This window comes from Homo sapiens, chromosome 3 (genome assembly GCF_000001405.40).
Source record: "Homo sapiens chromosome 3, GRCh38.p14 Primary Assembly".
NCBI classification, from domain to species: Eukaryota; Metazoa; Chordata; class Mammalia; order Primates; family Hominidae; genus Homo; species Homo sapiens.
The window spans coordinates 25,824,670-25,851,131 of record NC_000003.12 but is presented as its reverse complement, the minus strand read 5'-3'; the positions used below and the strand labels follow the sequence as shown (position 1 = coordinate 25,851,131).

Below are 26,462 nucleotides of genomic sequence, written 5' to 3'. Positions count from 1 at the left end.
GTCACCTCCTCAAGGATGCCCTCCATGACTATACCATCTAAAATAATACTCCCCATCACTCTCTATCTCCTTACATTTCATTGGTTTTATTTTCCTTCCTAGCACTTATCACTGTCTAACATTATGTATTTATTAATTGTCTATCTTCCCTTCTAGAATGTAAGTTTTATGAGAGCAAGATTTTATTTAGTTTACTGTTATGTCCCCAGCACCTGGAGCAATTCCTACACTTAGTAGGCACTTGATAAATATCCATAGAATAAACAAATATATCACATCCCCCTAACCCAGAAAAAAGAAGAAAGGAAAGGATAGTGTGTTCAGAAGTAATTTACATGGCAAGACCAGGTTCTTTACTCCCATTCTAGTTGAGCTAAATGATCTGTTCTAGCTAACAACATGAAGCCAAACAGAAAAGATCAGCTTCTAAGTGAATGTGGGGGGTATTACTTGTTTATAAAGTTTTAGAAATACTATTCCTAAAAATCAGTCATAATACCAAAAGCTTTTTTAAATCTTGCAAGTTCTAAGTGAACACAAGACCCAGGTTCATTTGGAAACACATATTCTGCCACCTCAGCTTAGTGTCATACTCTGAAGATAGGATTTTCAGATGGCCAAGGGTTCCTTGAAACTTTGTTGTCCATCCCCATTGGAAAGTTACGTAAAAATTACCGTACACGTAGAGGAAGAGTTCTTAAAATGGTAACTCAGAGGCCCATTCTGCATTCTGGAATTGGGGAAGACGGGCTACATAGTATTTTTTAAAATTTGAATTAGTTGCCTGCATTTATATATTAGATTTCACATAAAATCCATCTTCTGAAAATGTGAAAGATCTAGCAACATAAATTAATAGTCAGCTGCAGCTGAGTTACAGCTGCTCCCTTCAGATGGGCCAAGTGCAGTAAGTATCACTTAATATCACCGATAAGTTCTTGAAAACTGAAGCTTTAAATGACATGATGTGTAACTGTTACTGAGCAATGGGCTCGCTTCCTGGTTAACATAGACGCAAATACTATGACACCAGTTTTTAAGAAAAAAAAAGGTTTTATTGTGGGGTTGGCGGCGAGGAGGCAGGAGACAAAGCTCAATTCCATCTCCCCATTCTGGAGTCTGGGGCAAGTTTTCTGGGTTAGAGAGAGCAGGCTGGTATGCAGAAGTGCTGGTGGGTAGGTCTTGATTGGAAGAACTTTAAACAAGACCATATATGGTAAAGTATGGTAAGGGATCTTAACACCTAACATTCCTGAGCTTGTACCCCTTCACTTTTGAAAGTGTTCTGGCCTTCAGTTCTGACCAAGTCTTGATACATTTGTTCCATGAGGGGAGTGAAACTTCAGTTCCAGATTTTATTTGAGGTTGAAATCTTTTCTGTGCATACTTCAGCTGTATGACTCGTAATTTCTTCACTCTGTGCCTGTAAAATAATTTAATATCCTGTTTTCAATAGAGTAGGGCCAGTTAAAACTGGTTCAGTGGTTATATGAGAAAACCAATTTTATAATAGGCTAATTGACATAAACAAGAGTTAAGTTCCTATGGCATATTTCTGGTCACAAAAACATCATCAGACATCTAAATAAAGGCCAAAATACTTCTAATATTAAACATTGAAATAAATGTGAGGTATACATTCAAATGAGAAAAAGCAATAAAAACAAATTAGATAACTATTTACCCAATTATTCCAGTTCAGGGTCATGGGTGACCATAGCGTATCCTAGCAGCTGGGTCACAAAGTGGGAACCTGCGGCAGGCCGGGTCTCACTAACGCAGGCCTCCGTTACAACTGTGCCAGCACTGACTGAGTAGGGAGGTTAAACATTAAAAGCTGATTGAGCCAGTGCCCTTACACAAAGGCTGGAATGTAACAAAAGCCCGCCAAAAGTTTTGTCTAGGCCTTTCCTGGGCCTTAAAGCATGACAAAATAATGAAGGAATTAACATGACCCATTTAGGATTAAACAAGTTTTACTGGGGGTCTGAACAAACTCCCCAAGCCTCCATAAACAAGTTTATTGGATCTAAAGGAACTCCCCAAACCTCTGTGATTTAGCGGGAGACCAGATAAGGGTCATCACTGCCACACCTGGACCCATTTAGATTAAGAAAATTTACTTTGGCTTCAGAAGAAGGTCTTCAGGACTCAGACCCTAGTTATAGATTAAAAGAAGTTTATCATTTATGTCTTTAGATGAATGCACACTTACACGTAGACATATAGCTTGGAAGGTATATAAGCTCTGGAAAACTTTGTAATTTTGCATTGGTCTGGCAACAATTTCCAGGCCTTCTCCCTGTAACCAGTTACATAAATAAAAACTCTCTTCCTCCCCAGTTAATCTGTGTCTCATTATTGGGCTTCATGAAATAGCAGCCTGACCCTTGGTTTGGTCCGGTAACAAACCCACCTTAGACAGGATGCCATTCCATCACAGGACACACTCCCACACACATCCACACTCACTCAAACTGGGACAATTCAGACATGCCAATGAACCTAACATCTTTGGGATGTGGGAGGAAACCAGGGTATCTGAAGAAAATCCATACAGACATGAGGAGAATGTGCAAATGAAGACAATGGCCCCAGCCTAGGATCAATTTTTTTTTCTCATCAGCATTATAATGAAATGGTACTGAAGAGAAACAATGTTATTCCAGGACCTGCTGTACTCTGCAGCATGCCACAATGCTTACCACAGACTCTATTAACTCAGGTGGGTTCCCTCGTTTATTTTACCTGTCTAGTCCCTGCAGCATTTAACTTTTTATCTCTTACCTTAAACATGATTGGTTAATTGTCCCAGAGACAGGGAGATCATCAAAGAAGCAAAAGCGCCCGTATAATCACCATGAAGAACCACCAACCTTTAAAATAACACAAGCCATTGTAGAAACGTAGAATGGGGCCTCAGAAATCATCCAGTTTTCTTCATTATTATAAATGAGGAAACAGAGGCCCAGACGGGTCAAACTTTGAACAGATCAAAGATTAAATCTCTTGATGCCCAAGAAGGTCCTGTATCTCCCACTGAGCACCTACCAGAACATGTATTTGTGTGTTAGCAAACATTGCAATGTAAACCTGGTTGGTGTTGGAGCCGTTCAATGGCTCCAACCCCTAATGTTTTGAAAACATTTTTTAAAGGCTAAATACTAGGAAAAGGCAGTATTTCTAACCATGTAAGTGCAACTGGGAAAAAAATTCTCTAGAATAAAGTTCTCATAAGGCCAAGACAAGATGTGAAGAACTGAAGCTGGCCTAGGTTAAGGGTCAGAAAATTGTTTTAGTAAAGGGCCAGGATAGCAAGCATTTTAAGCTTTGTGGGCAATTGGTCTCATAGCAACCACTCAACTTTGCTGCCATTGCATAAAGCATCCATGGATAATATGTAAGTAAATGGGTGCTACTCTGTTCCAAAAAAAACTTCATTTATGTACACTGAAAATTGAATTTCATATCATTTTCATGGGTCATGAAATAACATTCTCTGATTTTTTTTTCTTTGAACCACTATAAATCTAAAAAGTATTTCTAGCTCATAGATCATACGAAAACTGAGTATGGACAGGATTTTGCCCATGGGCCATAGTTTGCCAATCTCTGGCCCAGATCGTGAGGGTGGATGAGAGGAGGAGCCAAACCTGCTTGTCCTGGGATCCTAGGGTTTTGTTCAGTCTGAATACAAGATTTCTTCTTCTAGCCAGACCAGCCTGGTGTTTTTTATGGTATTTCAATTGTCTTACAGTTTGTCAACTTTATATCATTTACTCATCTTTTTGGCTGATCTTCACAATTATCCTGTGAGGTACATAGAGCAGGTATATATGTTGTATTTCAAATTTGTTCATTACTTGTACAGATTACAATAACAATAATAGAAGAGAAGTTCACTGGAAATATCACCACCTCAAGAAACAATATTTGATATTTTCTTTATATTCCTACATGCCTTTTTCATATACATGCAAAATTCTACAGAATTGGCATCATAATGTGAATATAATTATATATTCCAGTTTTTCATATAACTGATCCATGCATTATACTTTATTACTAAATAGGCATCATGGTGAATATTTAAGATACTATGTAATATATCATTAGTTACTTAATCTTTTCTCATTTGTTTGACATTTAAGAAGTTTCCAGTTGTTTACCATAAGTAATACTGCAATGAATGTCCTTTTTTACTTTACTTTTACATGAGTATTTCCTAACAATATTCCCAGAAGTGAGATTACCTGATAAAAGGACAGTAACACTTTTAGATTCTTGATATGCTTTAGAAACTTCTTTCAAAAAAATTACATGAAAGCCCAGCCACCAGTAATGAGCTTGATACAAGGAGAAAGATCTACTATTCTATAGCACTATAGGTTGACTAGAGTTAACAATAAATTATTGTATATTTTCAAATAGCTAAAAGAAAGGATTTTGAATGTTCTCAACATTAAAAAAAAAGTTTGATGTTTGGAGTGATTATGCTAGTTACCCTGATTTTATTGCTATATCTGGTATGTATTGGAACTCACTATCTACCCCATATATATGTACAATTATTATATGTCAAGTAAATAAAAATTGAAAAAAGAGAAAATAATGTAAATAATTTTACATTATTAATTTTTATTAATTTTTTATTAATTTTATTTATATTAATTTTTACATTATTTTACATTCAATAAAAATTGAAAAAAGAGAAAATAATAGCATACATTATTGGAGAAAATTTGGAATATGCAGAAAAAATACACTGGAGAAAATAAAATATTTTGTTTATAAAAACCCACCAGTAATATATGGATATACCAGAAAAGGATTTTCATTAGCACGGGTTTAAAAGACTGGGTCATGGAGCAGCCCAACTCTGTCATTGACTCCTGTGTTACCTTCGGAATGTTACTTCTACCTTAAGCTTTGATTTCCTCATCTGTCAAATAAGGACAATAATACGTGTTTTATGTTAGGATTAAAAGAGATGATCTATGTTAAGGGTGACCTATAATAAACAACTTCCAAATACTAGTGAAGGTTATATCATGATGATGATAATGATGATGATAGTGGTGATAATGAAGGTAATGATGATGATGATGAGCTTCAGTTTATTCATGAACAACCAGGATTTAGATTAGCTAAGTATCTTGCCCAGTGTCACACAATCGGTTGAATAGCATTTGCATTCCAGTTCATGTCTTTTGTTGTTTATCTTTGATGGTAGCCAAGGATCTTGTGGAACATTTAATATATGAATTGTTTTGATTTCTTGCTTACTCTCAAGAACATGTTGTTTTCAGACTGACTTCTAAGTCTTAGATACCAGCCAATCTGTTCCTTCTGTATCTGAGAACCCCAATGGTCCAGCTCTAACCTGCTACACAAAGCCAGACATAAAACTTTTCCCTTCACATTTTTAAAATTAAGCAAGTAACAGAATAGCATTATATGGCATAATCTTTGTGCCTTCTAGCACTCGCATCAACCTAGTCACAAAGCTTGCCACAACAGCCTTTTATTTCTAACAGCGTTTACATTGCTATTTAAAGTAGATGTTGACAGGTTTTAACACTGAGTTCATTTATATTCATAACCTTTTATACAAACTCCAATATTTCAAGGTTAATGAAATCAGCACTCCTGAAACTGAGAACTAATATCCAAGAAGAATTCATATATGTAAAAAATATTGCTTCCTTCTCTTTGTTTCTTCTCGTTCAAAAACAGTATTCCTAAGAAAAGTCAAAATTATGGTCAGTAACAATTAACATGAGAATTTAATTGAGAATTAACATGGAAATTTTAATGTGAGAAACCTATAATCTATATTCTATCATCTTATTCTGAATGAAACACAAAGATATAGTCTACACACTTTCTTAGGAGCTTTTGCTAGTGCTTAATTACTGCTCCCAAGATGGTTTTTTGCTTGTCTGCTTATTGAAGCAGTTGTGTTCTGGGTGTTGGTTGCACAGTAATAGTTTTGATTTAAACCATGTGAAGCAAATCTGGTTCTAAGAATTAATGACACGTGTTTATAGATGGGTGGCATTTGAGAATCTACAGCATGTGTCAGCAAACTTTTTTTAAAAGAGCTAGATAGGAAAGATTTCAGGCTTTGCAGGCAAAAGATCTCTGTTGCAATTACTTAACTCTGCTATAGACAATGTGTAAATGAAAAGGTCCTAGTTGTGTTCCAATAAAACTTTTTTTTTTCTAGGTGAAGTCTCACTTTGCCACCCAGGCTTATGAAGTGCAATGGCACAATCATGGCTTGCAGCCTCAACCTCCCAGGCTTAAGTGATTCTCCTGCCTCAGCCTCCTGAGTTGCCGGGACTACTGGCATGCACCACAATGCCTGGCTAATTTTTTAATTTTTGTAGAGATGGGGTGTCCCCATGTTGTCTATCCAGGCTAGTGTCAAACTTCTGGCCTCAAGTGACCCTCCCCCCTCAGGCTTCCAAAGTGCTGGGATTACAATCATGATCCACCATGCCTGGCCAAACCTTCATTTTAAAAAGAAGATATTATGCCTGCAAGATATAGTTTGCTGACATCTGGTGTAGAAACTAGAAGAGCTTGTTCTAGATGTCAGTGGCACTAGTCATATCTTGATATTTCATGGCACTTAATAACAATGTAATGGCACACATGTTTCCAGATTTTGCTGTTTTCTGGCACCTTGCAGAACCAACACATGGTAGAGGCTTCTTAAGACTGGGTGAGACTTATGATTCTAGACCCTGATAGCACTTAAGTTTTTATGTTTGGTGATCCTTGTCACTTTGAGTACTTATGGCATATACAGTTCTAGAAGGTGGTAGTTTATGGCATTAAAAGTAATTTGCCAATCTTAAATTCATAGTCCTTATCCTATAGTAAACACTCGGAGAATGTTTGTTAAGTGAGTAAATGATCCTTACTTTAGTCTCCAAGAGGTGCTAAAAATTACATCTCTAATATTTACTAATTTCTCCACTCCATGGTGTATATTCAATAACTGGCAAGATAATTTGGGGAAAAAGATGAGCAAATCTGACCATGTGGTTTGGATTTTCATTAATCCATACCTTCAGGATTAGTTAAGGATCCTGGGATACGTAGGATTAATTAAGAATACATAGGGTACAGAACTACCTCTACCTAGTCATGTTAAATGTCATATCTGGGTGTCTGGTTCACCTGCTTTATAAATATCTCTTATTGAAGCTTGGTATATTTTCCAAAAGTGCTATAGAAAAATTTCTTCATGCCTCCCAAAAAGAGAATGCTATTATATTGAAGTCCTACTGGTCTCATTCCTAGATAAATTAATATAGAATTGTATCCCCCTTCTGCACCATTCCGAGAATGTGCTACACTGGGTTTACAAAACTCCAATTTTACAAGTAAAAGTATAAAATAATGAGAGTGAAGTAAGGGCTACCAGTTGACTTAAGAACATTGTTAGAAATAGACGGTTACTGTGCAAACATACACACAAATTCATTTATGCTTAATTGATTCCTTCTTTAAGTAAAATAACTAAGACAAGGTAGAAACATTTCTGTAGAAAAGGGAATGTGCAAGCGCCACAGAAAAGACATATTAACTAACCAAGGTTTTGGCACCATCATGTGGCCATTTAGATTTGTTTTATTTTATTTTTTCCAGAATTGTTGAAGTACGATTTACAAATAAATATTGTATATATTTAAGGTATACATTGTGATGTTTTGATATATGTATACATTGTGAAATGATTGTCATAATCAATCTAATTAACATACCCATTACCTCACATAGTAACCATTTTGTGTGTATGAGTGTGCATGGCAAGAACACTTAAGATCTACTCTCTAGACAAATTTTAAGTATGTGATACATAATTATTAACCATGCTGTACTTTAGATCTCCAGAACTCATTAATCTTACAACTGAAATTTTATCCCCTTTGACTAATATCTCCCCATTTCTCCTACACTTCAGTCTTCTACTCTCCATATCTATGTTTTACATATAAGTGAGATCACATGTGTATATCTTTCTGTTCCTGCCCTATTTCCCATAGCATAATGTCTCCTGGGTTCATTTATGTTATCACAAATGGCAGGATTTTCTTCTTCTGTAAGGCTCAATAATATTCCTGTGTGTGTCGCATTTCCTTTGCACATTCATTCGTCAGTGGACACTTACATTGGTTTCCATATCTTGAATAAATGCTGCATGAATGTGGGAGTGCAGATATCTCTTTGAGACAATAATTTTATTTTCTTTGGATATATACCCAGCAGTGGGATTGATGGATTGTATGGTAGTTTTATTTTTAATTTTCGAAGTACATCCATACCATTTTCCACAATGGCTGTACCTCCAACTATGTACAAAGGTTCCCTTTTCTCCACAGCCTTGCCAACACTGGTTACCTTTCAACTTGTTGATAATAATCATCGCAACTGTGAGGTTATATCTCACTGTGGTGTTTATTTGTATTTCTCTGATGATTAGTGATGTTGTGTATCTTTTTATATACCTGTTGGCCATTTATATTTCTTCCGTGGGAAAATATCTATTCAGTTTTTTTGCCAATGGTTTAATTAGGTTATTTGTGTTTTTGCTATTGAGGTCCCTTATATATTTTAGATAATAATCCTTTATAGGATATATGATTTGCAAATATTTTTGCCCATTCTATAGGTTGTCTTTTCATTTTGTTGGTTGTTTCTTTTACCATACAGAAGCTTTTTTGTATGATGTAGTCCATGTGTTGCCTGTACTTTTGGCAAAAAAATCATTACCAAGGCCAATGTCAAGGAACTTTTCCTCTATGTTTTCTTCTGGTAGTTTTATAGTTTCAGGTCTTATGTCTGTAATCCATTTTGAGTAGATTTTTGTGCATGGTGTAATATAAGGGCCCAATTTCATTCCTTTGCATGTGGATATTCAGTTACTCTAACATTATTTATTGGAGAGAATATCCATTCATCACTGTGTATTCTTGGCACCTTTGTTGAAGATTAATTGACTATACAAGTGTGGGTTTATTTCTGGGCCCTCTATGCTTTCCATTGGTCTATGTGTCTGTTTTATGGCACTATCATACTGCTTTAATTACTGTAATCTTTGTAATATTACTTGAAATCAGAAAGTGTAATGCCTCCAGCTTTGTTCTTCTTTCTCAAGATTGCTTTAGCTCTTCAGTGTCTTTTGTGGTCCTATATGAATTTAAGCACTATTTTTTCTATTTCTGTTAAAGAATGGCGTTGGAATTTTGATAGGGATTGCACTGAATCTATAAATCATTTTAGGTGGTATGGACATTTTGACAATATTAATTTTTCTGATCCATGAACATGGAATATCTTGTCATTTATTTGTGGCTTCTTCAATTATTTCCATCAATATTTTATAGATTTAGGATACAGATCTTTCGCTTCCTTGGTTAATTTTATTTCTAAGTATTTTTTATGCTATGATAAATGGAATTGTTTTCTAGATTACCTTTTTGGATAGTTTGTTATTTGTGTATAGAAACATAACTGATTTTCGTATGTCTGTTGTGCATCCTGCAACTTTACTAAATTTGTTTATCAGTTCTGACAGTTTTTTGGTGGAGTCTTTATGGTTTTCTATATGTCAGATCATGTCATCTTCAAACAGAGGCAATTTAACTACTTCCTTTAGAATTTGTATTACTTTTATTTTTTTTCCTTGTCAAATTACCCTAGCTAGAACTTCCAGTACTATGATAAATAGAAGTGGAGAGAATGGGCATCCTTGTCTTATTTCTGATCTTAGAGGAAAAGCTTTCAATTTTGAACATTGAGTATAATGTTAGCTGTGGTTTTCTTCATATTTGGTCTTTATTGTGGTGAAACAAGTCCCTTCTATATCTATTTTATTGAGAGATTTTTATAGTGAATGAATGTTAAATTTTGTCAAAAGTTTTTTCTACATAGACTGAGATGATCATAAGATTTTTGTCCTTTATTTTGTTAAAGTGGTATACCACATCAATTGGTTTGTGTATATTGAACTATCCTTTCATCTTAGGAATAAATCCCACCTGATCATGATGCATGATCCTTTTAATGTGCTGTTGTTTTCAGTTTGCTAGTATTTTATTGAAGATTTTGGTGTCTGTATTCATGAGGGATATTGACTTGTAGTTTTCTTGTGGTGTCTTTGTCTGGCTTTGGTATCAAGATAATGCTGACCTCATGAGTGAATTTAGAACCATTTCTCCTTTTTCTATTATTTGAAAGGGCTTAGAATGGATTAGCATTAATTCTTCTTTGAATGTTTGGTAGAATTCACTCATGAAGCCACCTGGTCCTGGGCTTTTATTTTATGGAGGGTTTTTGATTACTAATTCAATCTCTTTATTTGTTACTGGTCTGTTCAGACTTTCTATTCCTTCTTTATTCATTTGTTTATTTAAAATATTTCTTATAAACTTTTATGTTTATAAACTTCCCTCTTGGTACTGCCTTTACTACATCTCATAAGTTTTGGTATATTGTGTTTTCATTTTTCTTGAATTTTTAAAAAATTTATTTTTGTTTTCCTCTTTGACTCAATGTGTATTACTTAATTTCCATATATTTGTGAATTTTTCATTTTCTTACTGTTATTAATTTGTAGTTTCATTCCATTGTAGTCAGAAAAATACCTGGTATGATTTCAATCTTCTTAAATTTGTTAAGACTTACTTCGTAATCTAACATGCAATCTATCATGGAGAATGTTCCTTGTGTGCTTGAGAAGAATGTGTATATGTATGCTGTCGAGTAGAAAGTTCTGTATGTTTCTCGGGTCTATTTGGTCTATAGTATTACTCAAGTCAGCAATTTCTTTGTTAATTCTGTCTGGTGTTCTATCCATTTACTGAGAGAGGGATACTGAATTCTTCTACTATTATTGTATTGATGTCAATTTCTGCCTTCAGATCTGCCAATATTTGCTTTATGTATTTAGGTGCTCTAATATTAAGTGCATGTATATTTACAATATTTATGTTTTCCTGTTGAATTGCCTCTTTATCATTACATGATTACATTATTTGTGACAGTTTTTGAGTTAAAGTCTATTTTTTCTGATATAAGTGTAACCACTTCTGCTTTCTTTTGATTATCATTTGTATGGATTATCTTTTCTGTTCCCTAACTTTCAGCCTGTGTCTGTCCTTTAAGCTGAAGTGAGTCTCTTATGGAAAGCATATTACTAGCTCTTTTTTCTTTATCCACTTGGACACTTTATGTCTTTTGATTGGGGAATTTAATTCATTCACCTTTAAGATAATTATTGACAGATGAGGACTTACTATGGACATTTTGTTGTTTTCTGTCACCTTTGCTATTGTTTTGTTCCTGTCTTCCTCTCTCATTGTCTTTTGTTGTTAGTTGATGACTATCTGTAGTAATTTCTTTGATTCTTGTCTCTGTATTATATATATATCATATAGATATCTATATATATATCATATATATTTACATATATGTAAAGCCTTTGTATGCAATACAAGTTAAATTACCAACTTAAGATAAAAAGTAATAATTACAAGATACTTTATACAAGTCTCATGGTAGCCACAAAAACCCTGATATATATCTATATATAGATAGGTATATATCAGGTATATATATATATATCAGATATGGATAGATGGATAGATATCAGGTATATATATATCAGATATATATATAGATACATATCAGGGTTTTTGTGGCTACCTTGAGACTTGTATAAAGTATCTTGTAATTATGACTTTTTATCTTAAGTTGGTAATTTAACTTGAATTGCATACAAAGGCTTTACATTTTTGGCAGGGCGCAGTGGCTCACGCCTGTAATTCCAGCACTTTTGGGAGGCCGAGGCGGGTGGATCACGAGGTCAGGAGATCAAGACCATCCTGGCTAACACAGTGAAATCCCGTCTCTACTAAAAAATATAAAAAATTAGCCGGGCATGGTGGCAGGCGCCTGTAGTCCCAGCTAGGGAGGCTGAGGCAGGAGAATGGCGTGAACCCGGAAGGCGGAGCTTGCAGTGAGCCAAGTTCGTGCCACTGCACTCCAGCCTGGGCGACAGAGCGAGACTCGGTCTCAAAAAAAAAAAAAAAAGGCTTTACATTTTTACTCCACACTTTTGGTGTTCTTAAAGTCAGTTTGACTCTTTATATAGCGTGTATCCATTAACAAATTTTTGTGGCCACAGTTATTCCTAGTATTTTTGTCTTGTAACTTTTATGTTTATGTTAAAAGTAATTTATGTTCCACCATTACATTGTTGCATTGTTCTGTATTTGTATATATATTAACCTTTACTAGTCACATTTATGCTTTCACATTGCTCTTTAGTATGTTTTTATTTCAATTTGAAGAACCCCCTGAGCATTTCTTGTAAGGCAGTTCTGATGGTGATGAACTCCCTCAGTTTTTCTTTGTCTGTAAACGACTTTCTCCTTCATTTTGAAAGGATAGTTTTGCTGAGTATAGTATTCTTGATTAGCAGGGTTTGTTTTTTTTTTCAGTATTTTCAATATGTTATCTATCCCACTTTCTCCTGGCCTGCGAGGTTTTTGCTGAGAGATCTGCTGATAGTCCTATAGAAGTTTCTATTTATGTGTATAAAACCTCTTCTTATTTTTATGGACTGCTTTCAGCAGGTAAAGACCTTCTCTTGCCTCATTCTCAGACTAATGGGACTGCCTCTTGGATCATAGTCAAGTGGGGCTAGAAGTGGGTCACATGGCTATGGCCTGGTCTGCAGTTGGTTCCACAGTCTGCAGTCCTGTTACCAGGAGTATGGGCAAGCATGGTTTCTGCCATGTCATTTTGTTCTTGCTGCTCTCAAAATTCTCTATTTTTGACTTATGACAATTTAATTATAATGTGATGTGTTTCAGCATAGGCCTTTTTATTTTCAACCTATATGAAGTTCATAATTTCTTAAATGGGGATGTTTATTTTCTTCCCCAAATTTGGGGAGTTTTCAGTCATTTCTTCTTTAGATAAGCTTTTTGCTCCTTTCTCTTTCACTTTTCCTTTGGAGACTTACATAATGTACATGCAGACTAGCTTGAAGGTGCCTCATCAATTCTGTAGCCTTTCTCATTCTTTTTTATTTATTTATTTATTTATTTTTTGTCTTTTTTCTCCTGTGGCTGGATAATTTCAAATGGCCTGCCTCTGGGCCCTGTACATGAACAAAATGAGAGGTATGATTTCTAAACCTTTGTTAAACCTCTCATTTTGTTCATGTACTGTTTTCCTGAGATATTGATTTAGCTGTCTATTGAGCTTGTAGCTCACTGTGCTTCCGTAAGACAATTATTTTCAATTTGTTGTCAAGAAATTCATAGATCTATACTTTTTGGTACTTGGTTACTAGAGCTTTATTAATTTCCTTCAGTAGTGTCATGTTTGCCTGGTTCTTCATGATTCATATAGCTTCATATTGGTATCTGCTCACTTGAGGAGCAAACACCTCTTCCTGTTTTTATAGACTGCTTTCAGCAGGTAAAGACCTTCTCCTGCCTCATTCTCAGACTGACAGAACTGCTTCTTGGGTCAGAGTCAAGTGGGGCTAGAGCTAGGTCACATGGCTGTGGCCTGGTCTGTAGTTGGTTCCACAGTTGACAGTCCTGTTACCAGGGGTGTGGGCAAGCATGATTCCTGCCAGATCCCCAGATTGATGGAACCACCTCCAGAACCACAGTTGAACAAGGCTAGAGCCTGGTCATGGGGCTGCTTCTGTTTGTGCAATTGAGTCTGCAGACAGTGGGTCTGCAGCCAGAGAATACCTGCTAAGCGTGTGGCTCCACCAGGTCCCTAACAGAACAGACTCCTGTCAGGGCCCTGTTTAGGTCTCTAAGCAGGAAGGACTTCCCCCAATACTGTGGTAGAGCAGTGCTGGAGCCAGCTCACAGGACTGCAGCAAGGTTTACAGTCAGGCTCAAGGTCAGTGGGCCTACCATGAGGGGCATGTATGCCACCAATTCTTCAAGCAGGCAAGATTACTCTGAAACCATGACAGAAGGAGGCTGGAACTGAGTCTCAGGGCTGCTTCAGGGTCTATAGCCAGGACTGACTTAGGGTCCACAGCAGGGACTGAGGGCAGCAGGCCTGCTACCAGGGGCATGGACAGACATTACTTGGTCTTTGGGTGGGCAGGACTGAGAGCAGGACAGGAGCTGGGTCACAGGGACTCTTCAAGAGCCACAGTAGGGACCAAGGTTGGTGGATCTATAACCTGGGGCATGACAATGTGTGTTTCACAAGATCCCTTTGAATGCAGCACTGACTCCAGACTGGTGGTAGAGCAGGGTTGAAGCCAAGTCACAGGGCCATTTCAGGGTCCACAGTCCGGTCTGTGGCCAGTAGGCCTGTTACCAGAGGCATAGATTGGTATGGCTCCTCCCAGGTCTTTTGCTGGATAGGGCTAGTTACAGCACTGCAGCCAAGCAGGGCTAGAGCCACATCCATGGGGGGACGGGGCTGCTTTGGGTCTATAGCTGGAATCATGCTCAGTGAGCCTGCCACTGGGGCATGTACCTGCCTTCTCAGAGCACCTCTCCTCAGTCTTGAGCTTTGCCAGGGTTTTGTGACCTCTTATCTGGATCCCAAAGCTCCCACAAAGGCAGTTTTGTTCATGAACAGCTGCCAAACCATTGTTTGTGTTGGGGAACATGAGCTGGGGTCTTCTTATTCTGCATGTGCTGGCAACTGCGGCCATTTACATTTGGCCGTTAGAAACTAAAGTTCTCCATAGCCAACATGTTCCCAAAACTCCACAATTTCCACATATCTGGAAATAAAGGTGACATTCTTCAAAATAATATTTCAATAAAACCTGTTCTCTGACTTTTCAGGGACAAATGATTATTACGATCAAATTATTAGCTGACTTATAAAGTTGATTTGCCTATTTTGAATCCAATTATTGTCAAGCCTCCTGGAATTTACTGGCTAAATGTCTGATACTTCTCTTTTCTATCTTTCCCTACTGCCAGCACCCTAGTTCAAGTGCCTATGGTTGTCTTTCAGCAAATCTGTCTCTTAACCTCCTAATTTCTCTAAATAAAATAAACTCTTCATTCCCTCCAATTCGTTCTCCACTCCACTGCCACAGTGATTTGTGTTTGTGCAAAAGTAATCATGTCACTCCTAAACTCCAATTAAAATCCTTCAGTAATATCCCACTTCTCCTAAGAAGTTTCCCAATCCTAACATGGTACATAGCCCTGTCTAATACAGTAGCCTCTACTATACAAGCCACTTGTGTTATTGAGCACTTGAAATGTGCCTTATCCAAATGAAGATGTGCTGGTAATGTAAGTGCACCACAGACTTTGAAGACTTAAGACACAAAAATTAATGTAAATTATCTCATTAATAATTTTGTAGTGATTACATGTTGAAATAATGACATTATAATTGGTTAAATACAGTATATTATTAAAATTACTTTTGCTTATTTCTTTTTACCTTTATAATATAGACCTAAAACTGAGTATATGGTGAAGCAAACAGGAAAAGTTTCCTTCCCTATGGAGCTTACAATCTCATGGAAGAAATAGGAGATAAGCAACATATTTCAGATAGAGAATGCAACATAGTGATACATGCTAAGGAGAAGAGGAATATGAGGTGTCAAGACAGGTGGTTGCATTTTAGGATCGATTTTCGGTAAGGTATTATTGAGTAGATGATTTTTGAGTCCTAAAGAAAGTAAAGGAAGATTGTTATGGGAAAATTGTTATAGGCAGAGGGAAACTGTTACAGGCAGAGGAAAAAGTAAGGGCAAAAGCTATAAGGGCAGGAGCAAACCTTGTTTACTGATGAAAGTGCAAAGAGGTCAGTGTGACTTAAACTCAGTGAACAAGGGGATAAGGGTAGAAGTGGAGGTCAGGGTAATAGTATCTACCAAATCATTTAGACTCTTACAGGCTGTGCTAAGGACTTTAGCTGAGTATGTTAGGAAACTGCCAGAGATAATAAATACCATACTTATGTGAACTCAGAAATTTTTTCAAATTCTCATTCTTGCCAGGTTAAAAAAAAAATACATCAAAAACAAGAAAAGAAAATTTTATCTCCAGCCCAAACCCCTTCCCTGACTCTTTGTCACACACACATGCACCCACGTGTAGATATATACACACAGACACACACACACACACACATATGTATATTAAATCACTTTAATCACTTACTTGATATCTTTCCTTAGTGTATCCAAAAGCTTTTTCAAACTTTACATATCCAAAGTTAATTACTGATATGCCACCCCTCATGACCTGTTTGCATTTATATAAAACCATTCAGCACCTAAATAGAAATAATTTACAGTAAAAATCTTCTAGTTTCACCTCTGCTATATAGAAAGATTGGAAGTCCTATCTCCCATCTTACAATAAGAAAAGCTGAACAAACTGAAAATCCATGACTTTAATTGGACCCTTCAGAGGCTGAGGTAGCAGGGCAAATAACTGCCCTGAAATCTAGAGAGACAAGTACATCCAGAGACTCATAGCCAAGATCTGCTTACCTGGAGCAGAAGCTGCTGGGGTCATAAACATAGCCACAGGTTCCACATGGTGGCTATAGTTAGATGGAGGATTTGATTTGTCAGCACCTAGCAGATGTGGAAGGCTTTTTTAAGAAATGAAACCCAGAAGTAAAACATTTTACACAAGCCATGAAACCTAAAGAAGAAGAAAAAAAAAAAACTGTGACTACATAAAAATGAAGAACATCTGTGTAACAAAAGAAAAGAAAATGTTCAAAGATAACAAGAGGCCAGGTGTGGTGGCTCATGCCTGTAATCCCAGCACTTTGGGAGGCTGAGGCGGGTGGATCACAAGGTCAGGAGATTGAGACCATCCTGACTAACACAGTGAAACTCTGTCTCTACTAAAAATATAAAAAATTAGCTGGGCGTGGTGGCACGCGCCTGTAGTCCCAGCCACCCAGGAGGCTGAGGCAGGAGAATCATTTGAACCCAGGAGACGGGGGTTGCAGTGAGCCAAGATCACGCCACTGCACTCCAGCCTGGGCCCCAGAGTGAGACTCCGTCTCAAACAGGCAACCTACAGAATGGGAGAAAATGTTTGCAATCTACTCATCTGACAAAGGGCTAATATCCAGAAACTACAAAGAACTCAAACAAATTTGCAAGAAAAAAACAAACAACCCCATCAAAAAGTGGGCAAAGGATATGAATAGACACATCTCAAAAGAAGACATTTATGCAGCCAAAAGACACATGAAAAAGTGCTCATCATCACTGGCCATCAGAGAAATGCAAATCAAAACCACAATGAGATACCATTTCACACCAGTTAGAATGGCGATCATTAAAAAGTCAGGAAACAACAGGCGCTGGAGAGGATGTGGAGAAATAGGAACACTTTTACACTGTTGGTGGGACTGTAAACCAGTTCAACCATTGTGGAAGACAGTGTGGCGATTCCTCAAGGATCTAGAACTAGAAATACCATTTGACCCAGCCGTCCCATTACTGGGTATATACCCAAAGGATTATAAATTATGCTGCTATAAAGACACATGCACACATATGTTTATTGCGGCACTAGTCACAATAGCAAAGACTTGGAACCGACCCAAATGTCCAACAATGATAGACTGGATTAAGCAAATGTGGCGCATATACACCATGGAATACTATGCAGTCATAAAAGAGGATGAGTTCATGTCCTTTGTAGGGACATGGATGAAGCTGGAAACCATCATTCTCAGCAAACTATCACAAGGACAAGAAACCAAACACCGCATGTTCTCACTCATAGGTGGGAATTGAACAATGAGAACACTTGGACACAGGGTGGGGAACATCACACACCAGGGCCTGTTGTGGGGTGGGGGAAGTGGGGAAGGATAGCATTAGGAGATATACCTAAGGTAAACAACAAGCTAATGGGTGCAGCACAGCAACATGGCACATGTATACATATGTAACAAACCTGCACACTGTGCACATGTACCCTAAAACTTAAAGTGTAATAAAAAAAAAGATAACAAGAAAACTCGAAGGAAATATCTGCAATATGGGTAACACAAGGTCTACATGTATAATATTAGGTTGGTGCAAAAGTAATTGCAGTTTTTGCAAAATCACAATTAATTTTCCACCAACCTAACACATAAACAGTACCTACAAATAATCTTTTAAAAGACAATATATTGAAGGGTAAGCAGGCGTTTTGAAAAGTATATATTTTAGAAGGAGTCTAGTAGATTGAGGAAAAAAAGTGTTAAAAAGAGAACACTCAGTGTTCATAGGAATATGGAGAAAAAGGCATTCTAAAACAGCATTAGTAGGAATGTATATTAGTAAATCTTCTTGGAAGGCAGTTTGTTTGAGCCAGGAATTTCCACTCCTAGAAAGGTATTGAATACTAGTGTAGACATAAGAAACACAAATAAGAGCAAGTTCTTTTAACATTGTTTCTAATATGGAAAAATTAGAAACAACCTAATATTCACTACTAAGAACTGACATAAGTAGGATATACCCATTCAATAAGATTCTGTGCAACTGATAAAAGGATGGTTGTAACTCATCTGTTGCCCTGGTAAAAATGTCCACAATTTGTATTTAAATGACAAAAGCATGGTAAATATTGAGAGTTTTATTATCTCAAACCAAGGGATTTAATCTATGTATTCAAGACTTCTTTAATGGCCCCACAGTGGAGTTTACAGTTTTCTTCCAAAAGGCCCTTTACATTTTTGGTCAAGTTTGTTTCTGGATATTTTATTTTGTGATGCCAATATGAATGGAAGATTTTCTTCCATTAAATTCCCTACATAAATTTCTGTATAGCTTATATAAAACCTCTTACTCTTCATGTAAGAAATCTTCTGATTTTGTATATTAACTTATAATTGGGCACCTTAATAAATTATGTTATTGTTTCTAGTAGTTTGATAGCTGTACCTACCCATTCTATTTTTTATGTTTCCTTTGGTATTCCTGGAGAAGAGCAGTTAAATACAACTGTAGTTCAGTGGAATTTTATTGCTAAACACCTGGGAAAAGAGAAAAGGGAATCATAAAATTACACATATTTGGAAACAAATGTTTTTTACAAAATCGAGCAACCATGTGGCCCCCGAACTAAGGTTCCTAAAGTCGTTCTCAGTCTAGGCAGTGATGCTCCCTCATTTTTTTTAGGCAAGCAGCTCTTTCTCCAAATGAAACTTTGGACAGGAGCTACAGCTGAGCTGATTTGATTGACACTGTGGTAAGGGCAGCTGCCTGGGCAAACGGGAAGCCTCCTCTGAACCGTTGAGAGACTTGAGAAGAACAATGCACCAAGCACAGTCTGAAAATTTGTACAGCTTTCTGCTCGCCTTCCCCTTTCATTCCTGAAGATGGAGCTCCTGAAGTTAAGCACACATTTTTTTTTCTTCTTTAGTCCCAACTCTTCTCTAGAATTTGTATTTCTCTTCTATCATAAAGATCAGTCTATTTCAATGACTGGGGTGCCAAGATAACTTCTAGACACAAAAACAGGGAATTTGTTTACAGTCTCAATGGAATGTTTCATGATCATCGTATCCTGGGATTTGTTTTGGCTTCAAGTAAACCAGAAAACAAAACACTGTTCATGATGATTCTTTGCTTTAAAATTTATTTAATCAATTCTTGAGAATTCTTACCTTTTTAACCTTAAAAATATGCCACAGTAATGAAAATTCCATTGTTTCTGCTGATTCTGTGTCCTCCTGAAAGTTATCCATTTAACAAAGGTCTTACTCTGCATGCCCACAGTTGCTTGATGAGGGAAAGCTTCTCCACAAGTCAGGAAAATCAAATCAAATCAAAACTGGAGAGAAAGCAAAAATATTAAAACAGTCTAGACCCAGGATAAGGCTTTACAAGAGCAGGGCTTTCATCTGAAACTGTTCCTGGTACAAATCATTCTTCAAGGCCCATTTACATAATTGGCTTAACTGAGAGGTCTGCTGTCTGGCAAGCACCCGCTTATAAATTTGGTTCTTCCAGTCCTATGTTAGGCAGAGCTGGCAGCTGTGCTTTGAAATTTCTCCTTTTACTATCCTGGCACACTTCTACATGTGCTTGCATAAAATTCCATCTGGTAGTATATGGGGTGATTTTCACTGGAAGACTGCATTTGGCGAGTAGATGAGATAATGCATCAAAAGTTTTCCACATGATGAAATTGCCTCTCCTAGCATTATGCTTTTTGATTAACTGACTAGGCTAAACTACATTGTTTCTGAGCAAAAGCTTTCTATTCAAATCATGTCTTACGGCAGAAGGAGCTGTCATGCTCTGAACTATCACACTGACCGGGGGGCTTTCTGTAAAGTAAACTCTGACAGCTGCCAGAGGCTCTATAGAAAGTAAAGTATGTCACAGAGATTCAATGAGTATGTTTGATAACTGCTCTGCCACAATTGGTGTAAAGAGAATAAATATGCAGCTGAGAAAATTATAGGTATCCAAACTCACATTACTTAATTAAGCTTAGCCAGGACTGAATGCACTAGTCATTTTGCCCAGAGCATGCCCTGGTTTCATTTCTCTTTCTTAAAATGTTACTGTATACCCATCCCCAGACTTAGGTTAAATTCTAGTTTTCTCTCTGGGTTCAAGTATAGACTTCAAAGCTAAACAATGCAATACTTCTCATAGCTCGATGCCATATATACAAGTTCTATTGGTATCATTTTCTTTCTGTCCAGAGAACTTTCCCATTGATTCTGACTGTATTCCGTATTTGTTTTATGCATCAAGTGTTGCTGATGAGAAGTCTGATATCATTCTGTTTTTCTTTCTTTTGTAGATAGTCTATGATTTATCACTGTTAGGTTTTTGGATTTTTTTTTTATCCCTAGTGTTTTCAGGACTTTTCCCCCCTAGTGTTAACACTACAATTGGTTAATATGTGTCAAAGGTGTAAGGTCTGTGTTTAGGTTCATTTTTTTGCATATAAATTTTACAATGGTTCCAGTACCATTTGTTGAAAAGGTTAATCTTCCCCTATTGAATTGCCTTTGCTCCTTTGTCAAAGATCTATGTGGGTCTATTTCTGGGTTCCTTAGTCTATTCCATTGATCTATGCCAATCTTATATGTCTATTCTTCCACTAATACCATGCTATCAGTTTCCCTATGTCTTCATCCATTTTCTGTCACTATAATATACTACCTAAGGCTAGGTAACTTATAAAGAAAAGAGTTTTATTTCTTACAATTCTGGAGGCTGGGAAGTCTACGATCAGGAGCCACATCTTATCAGCGTCTGGTGAGGGCCTCATGCTGTGTTATAACATGGCAGAAGGCATCACAGGGCATGACGGGTACACTGAGAGCCAAACTAACTTTTATAACAGGCTCATTCTTATAACTAACCCATTCCTGTGATAACCTGTTAATCCATTAATCCATGAATGTATTAATTCATTCATTAGAACAGAGACCTCAGACCCAGTCACCTCTTACAGGCCCCGCTTCCTAATACTGTTACACTGGGGGTTCAGTTTTGACATGAACTTTGGAGGAGCCAAACATTCAAACCATAGCAATCCCAAGAAAGGTTTACCAATATACGCTCTTTTAAAAAAATTTTTATTTTAGATTTGGGAGTATGAGTTATATAGATAAATTCATGTCATAAGGGTTTGTTGTACAGATTATTTCATCACCCAGATATTAAGCCCAGTACCCAATATTTATATTTTCTGCTCCTCTTCCTCCTCCCACCCTCCACCCTCAAGTAGACCCCAGTATCTTTTGTTTCTTTCTTTGTGTTCATGAATTCTCATTATTTAGCTCCCACTTATAAGTGAGAACATGTGGTATTTGGTTTTCTGTTCCTGTGTTAGTTTGCTAAGGATAATAGCTCCCAGCTCCCTCCATGTTCCCGCAGAAGACATGATCTCGTTCTTTTTTATGGCTGCATAGTATTTCATGGTGTCTACGTACCACATTTTCTTTTAATGACATTGATTTACATTGACCTGTTCCCTACACCCCTAGCAAGACTAAATGTTATCTATCCTTTTACATTTTTTCCAATCTATTAGATTCCTCCCCCCAAAAAAGCCTTTTTTTATTAAAAAAAAAATCTACTTGCACTTTGATGTAATATATTCCATTGTATTTTTAAGCGATTTATCAGTACCATTTACATATTGTGTTGACCTTTTGTTACCAATATTGCAACTAGTTCCTTCCAGTTTCTTAGTTATCTTCTGGCTTTTTTTCCTTTTAGTGTACAGAAACTCTTCATTTTTATGCAGTCAAACCTGTCTTTTAGGTTTCATGTCTGGCAGAAGCATTTTACTTCTGGGTTTTGTTTCTTACTTAGAAAAGCCTTCAGCATCTACCAGATGCCTACAAATCAAATTCTTAATCTAATTGCAGCAAGCATGTGGAATGTGTGGCTTACATATTTTCATTTGAAATTTTCACTTTTTCATCTCAATATTCTTTTCTTATCCATATTTTTACTTTTCTTAATGTTATTTAATATCCAATTTACCTAATATATGTAATACCACCTCAATAAATATTTGTATCTTACAGGAAATATGCTTCCAGAATAAAGTGAGTAAACATAAATATACATTCCACTCCTAGATATATACTCAAAAGAATTGAAAGAGGCGTTCAAACAAAAACCTGTATGCAAATGGTCATAGTAGCACTACTCATAATAGCCAAAAAGTAGAAACAATCCAAATGTCTATCAAATGATGAATGGATAAAGAAAATGTGGTAGATCACACAATAGAAAATTATTCGATCATAAGTAGGAATGAAATACTGATACATGCTACAACCTGGATGAACCTTGGAAACAGTATGCTGAATGAGAGACCACACACAAAAATTTGCCTATCATATGATTTCATGTATATGACATCAGGAATAGGTAAATCCATAAAGACATAGAGCAGATTAGTGGTTTCCAGGGGCTTTGGGACAAGCGTAATGGAGAGTGACTGCTTAATGAGTATAGGGTTTCCCTTTGAAGTGGTAAAAATCTTTGGGAACTAGACAAAAGCTATAGTTGTAAATGTTTATGCGTATACTACATGCCACTGAATTGTAAGCTTTAAATGTTTTTTTTTATGTTACCTGAATTTAGCTCAGTTTGTTTTTCAAAACTGCAAATATATCAATAAACATTTCTTTCTAAAGTGGAAATCTTAATCTCTACCTACCACAAGTAATTGTTCTACTGCTTAGATGATATACAGTAAGTTAAAATATTATATAAATATAAGATATCATAATATATTTATATATTAAATAAATATATACTAATCATATCATGGTTAGTTTCCTTTCTGGAACAAATTTTGCCTTCATTTCAAAGTCTCTCAGCTGTGGTTCATCATATGTAAATATGTTGGGATGACAAACCACTTGGTCTTCACCACTGCTCAGTCTTGAATTTCAATATAAAAAATGTCATGGTTATAATGCTACCCCATCTCCGAACCTGCTCCAATTAGAAGCAGGCAGCTGGTATTCCTACTAACTGGATTGCAGACAGTATGGGCCCTAAAAAGCACAAAAGGGAATAACTGTGAGCCCTTCCCTAAAAGCAGAGTTCACTTCAGTGCTTCCATAATAGCATTGCTGTTGCATTTTCTTGTTGAAAAATCAAACAATTTTTAGCACCCACTATAAGCCAGTCACTGTTGCAGGTACTTGGGATACATTCACCACAAACTAGTCAAAAATGCCAGCTCTTCTGGATCTTGCCTTCTGCAAAGGGTGAGAGAAAAATAAATAATAAACTTAATAAGGAAATAGATTTTATAGTCCGTTGGAAGGTGGTGGAGTGCTGTGGGAGAAAGAAAAGCTGAGGAGCATTAGGAGTCTAACAGGGTGGCATTTTTAATGAAGTCATCAGGTAAGCCTCTGAGAGAATGGCATGGAACAAAGACACTAAAGAAAGAAGAGTTAGACCTCTAGGGCTGTAACACTCATCATTAAATAAGGTTGCTCCAGGCCAGGCACAGTGGTTCACACCTGTAATCCCAACACTTTAGGAGGCAAGGTGGGCAGATCACCTGAGACCAGGAGTTCAAGACCAGCCTGGCCAACATGGTGAAACCCCCTCTCTACTAAAAATACAAAATTAGCCAGGTGTGGTGGTGCATGCCTGTAATCTCAGCTACTCAGGGGGCTAAGGCAGGAGAATCTCTTGAACCCAGGAGGCGGAGGTTGCAGTGAGCCAAGACTGCACCATTGCACTCCAGCCTGGGTGACAGAGCAAGTCTCCTTCCCAAAAAAAAAAAAAAAAAAGATAAGGATTGCTCCAGGCAGAGCCTGCCTGCTCCAGGAAGAGCCTGTGCAAATTTCCTAAGGCAGAAGCCACAGTGTGGTGGCAATGTGTGTGTTGGTACAGAGCAGGAAATGAGATAAGGTCAGGGAAGGAAACACTTTGGTTATTAAGATGAGAGAAACAGGGAGCCATAGCAAGGTTTCGAGAAGAGGCCTTAGCTGTGTCCTGCTTGACTTCTCATTGTCTCAGGTGTATTTTCCTCAATGACTCTGGCTTAGTATGTCGCCTCCTGAATCAGATCCATCTTGTACACATTTCAAAATGTTCTTGGCTCCATCTCTTACTCTAGCCATTGCTTCAGTTTTATGCAGTCTTTGATCTTTCTTGTGCCAGAGCAAATGGATTATATCTTGCCTTAAGCCAGACTGCATACCTCTTGCTTTCTGCCAAGAGATTCCTTTGAAGCTAGCCCAAGATGTCTTCCAAATCACCTGGAATTCACACATTCTTTTTTTTTTAATTTAGACTTTTCTTTTAGATACGGGGGTACATGTGCAGGTTTGTTACATGGGTATATTGCAACCAGATAGTGAGCATCATGCCCCATAGGTAGTTTTTCAACCCACAACCCCCTTCCTTCCTCCTTCCTCTAGTAGTACACAGTGTCTGTTATTCTCATGTTTATGTCCATGTGTGCTGAATGTTTAGCTGCCACTTATAAGTGAGAACATGCAGTATTTCCCTGCATTAATTCACTTAGGATTATGGCCTCCAGCTCCTTCCATATTGCTCCAAAAGACATGATTTCATTCTCTGTTATGGCTGAATAGTATTTCATGGTGTATATCTACCACTTCTTCTTTATTCAATTCACCATTGATGGGCACCTAGGTTGATTCCATATCTTTGCTATTGTGAATAGTATAGTGATAAACATAATGAGTGTATGTGTCTTTTTGCTATAATTATGTATATTACTTCAGAAATATACCCAGTAATGGGATTGCTGGGTCAAATGGTAGCCCCATTTTAAGTCCTTTGAGAAATCTCTAAACTGCTTTCCACAGTGGCTGAACTAATTCACATTCTACCAACAGTGTAAAAGTGTTCCCTTTTCTGTGCAGTCTCACCAGCATCTGCTATTTTTTTACTTTTTAATCATAGCCATTCTGACTGGTATGAGATGGTATCTCATGGTTTTGATTTGCATTTATCTGATGATTAGTTAAGATGAGCATTTTTTTAATGTTTGTTGGCCACTTCTATGTCTTCTTTTGAGAAGTGTCTGTTCATCTCCTTTGCCCGTTTTTTAACGAGGTTGCTTGTTTTTTGCTTGATTTGTTTAAATTCCTTATAGACTCTGGTTATTAGACCTTTGTCAGGTGCATAGTTTGCAAATATTTTCTTTCATCCTGCTCACTCTGTTGATACTTTCTTTTGCTGTGTAGACCTCTTCAGTTTAATTGGGTCCCATTTGTCAGTGTTTATTTTTTGTTGCAATTGCTTTTGGGGACTTAGCCAAAAATTCTTGCCAAGGCTGATGTCAAGAAGGGTATTTCCTAGGTTTTCTTCTAGGATTTTTGTAGCTTGAGGTCTTACATTTAAATTCTTATTTCATCTTGAGTTAGTTTTTGTATATGGTGAAAGGGAAGGGTCCAGTTTCATTCTTCTGCGTATGGCTAGCCAATTATCCAAGCACCATTTATTGAATAGTGAGTCCTTTCCCCATTGCTTATTTTCATCAGCCTTGTTGAAGGTCAGATAATTGTAAGTGCACAGCTTTATTTCTGACTTTTCCATCCTGTTCCATTGGTCTATGTGTCTGTTTTTGTATCAGTACCATGCCGTTTTGGTTACTGTAACCTTATAGTATACTTTCAAGTTGGGTAGTGTGATGCCTCTAGCTTTGGTCTTTTTGCTTAGAATTGCTTTGGCTATTCAGGCTCTTTTTTAGTTCCATATGAATTTTAGAATAGTTTTTTCTAGTTTTGTGAAGAACAACATTGGTGCTTTGATAGGAATAATGTTGCATCTGGTAGCTGTTTTAAGTTATTTGAGAAATCTTCAAATTGCTTTGGGCACTATGGCCATTTTAACAATATTGACTTGCAGGCCTGGGCACAGTGGCTCATGACTGTAATCCCAGCACTTTGGGAGGCCGAGGCAGATGGATTGCCTG

General features: G+C 37.0%; 1 long non-coding RNA gene across 2 annotated transcripts, besides 1 other annotated feature; it reads right to left on the bottom strand.

The window, feature by feature from the left end:
- Positions 1-1,033: 1,033 nt before the first annotated feature.
- On the bottom strand, positions 1,034-19,830 carry LOC105377000 (uncharacterized). 2 transcript variants are annotated; one of them, XR_940660.3, is made up of 6 exons: positions 19,675-19,830; positions 18,954-19,041; positions 16,538-16,694; positions 3,654-3,810; positions 2,877-3,047; positions 1,034-1,423 (listed from the first exon to the last, which is right to left on the bottom strand). It is a non-coding gene; the product is annotated as an uncharacterized LOC105377000 (long non-coding RNA). The 2 variants fall into 2 exon arrangements; XR_940661.3 differs by lacking the exons at positions 16,538-16,694; positions 18,954-19,041; positions 19,675-19,830 and adding an exon at positions 16,203-16,286.
- Positions 16,586-16,795: an enhancer, noted in NCBI's record as "active region_19614". NCBI's record gives its function as "activates an Ori minimal core promoter by ATAC-STARR-seq in GM12878 lymphoblastoid cells {active_cell/tissue: GM12878}" and the evidence as "EXISTENCE:reporter gene assay evidence [ECO:0000049][PMID:35858748]".
- Positions 19,831-26,462: the final 6,632 nt, after the last annotated feature.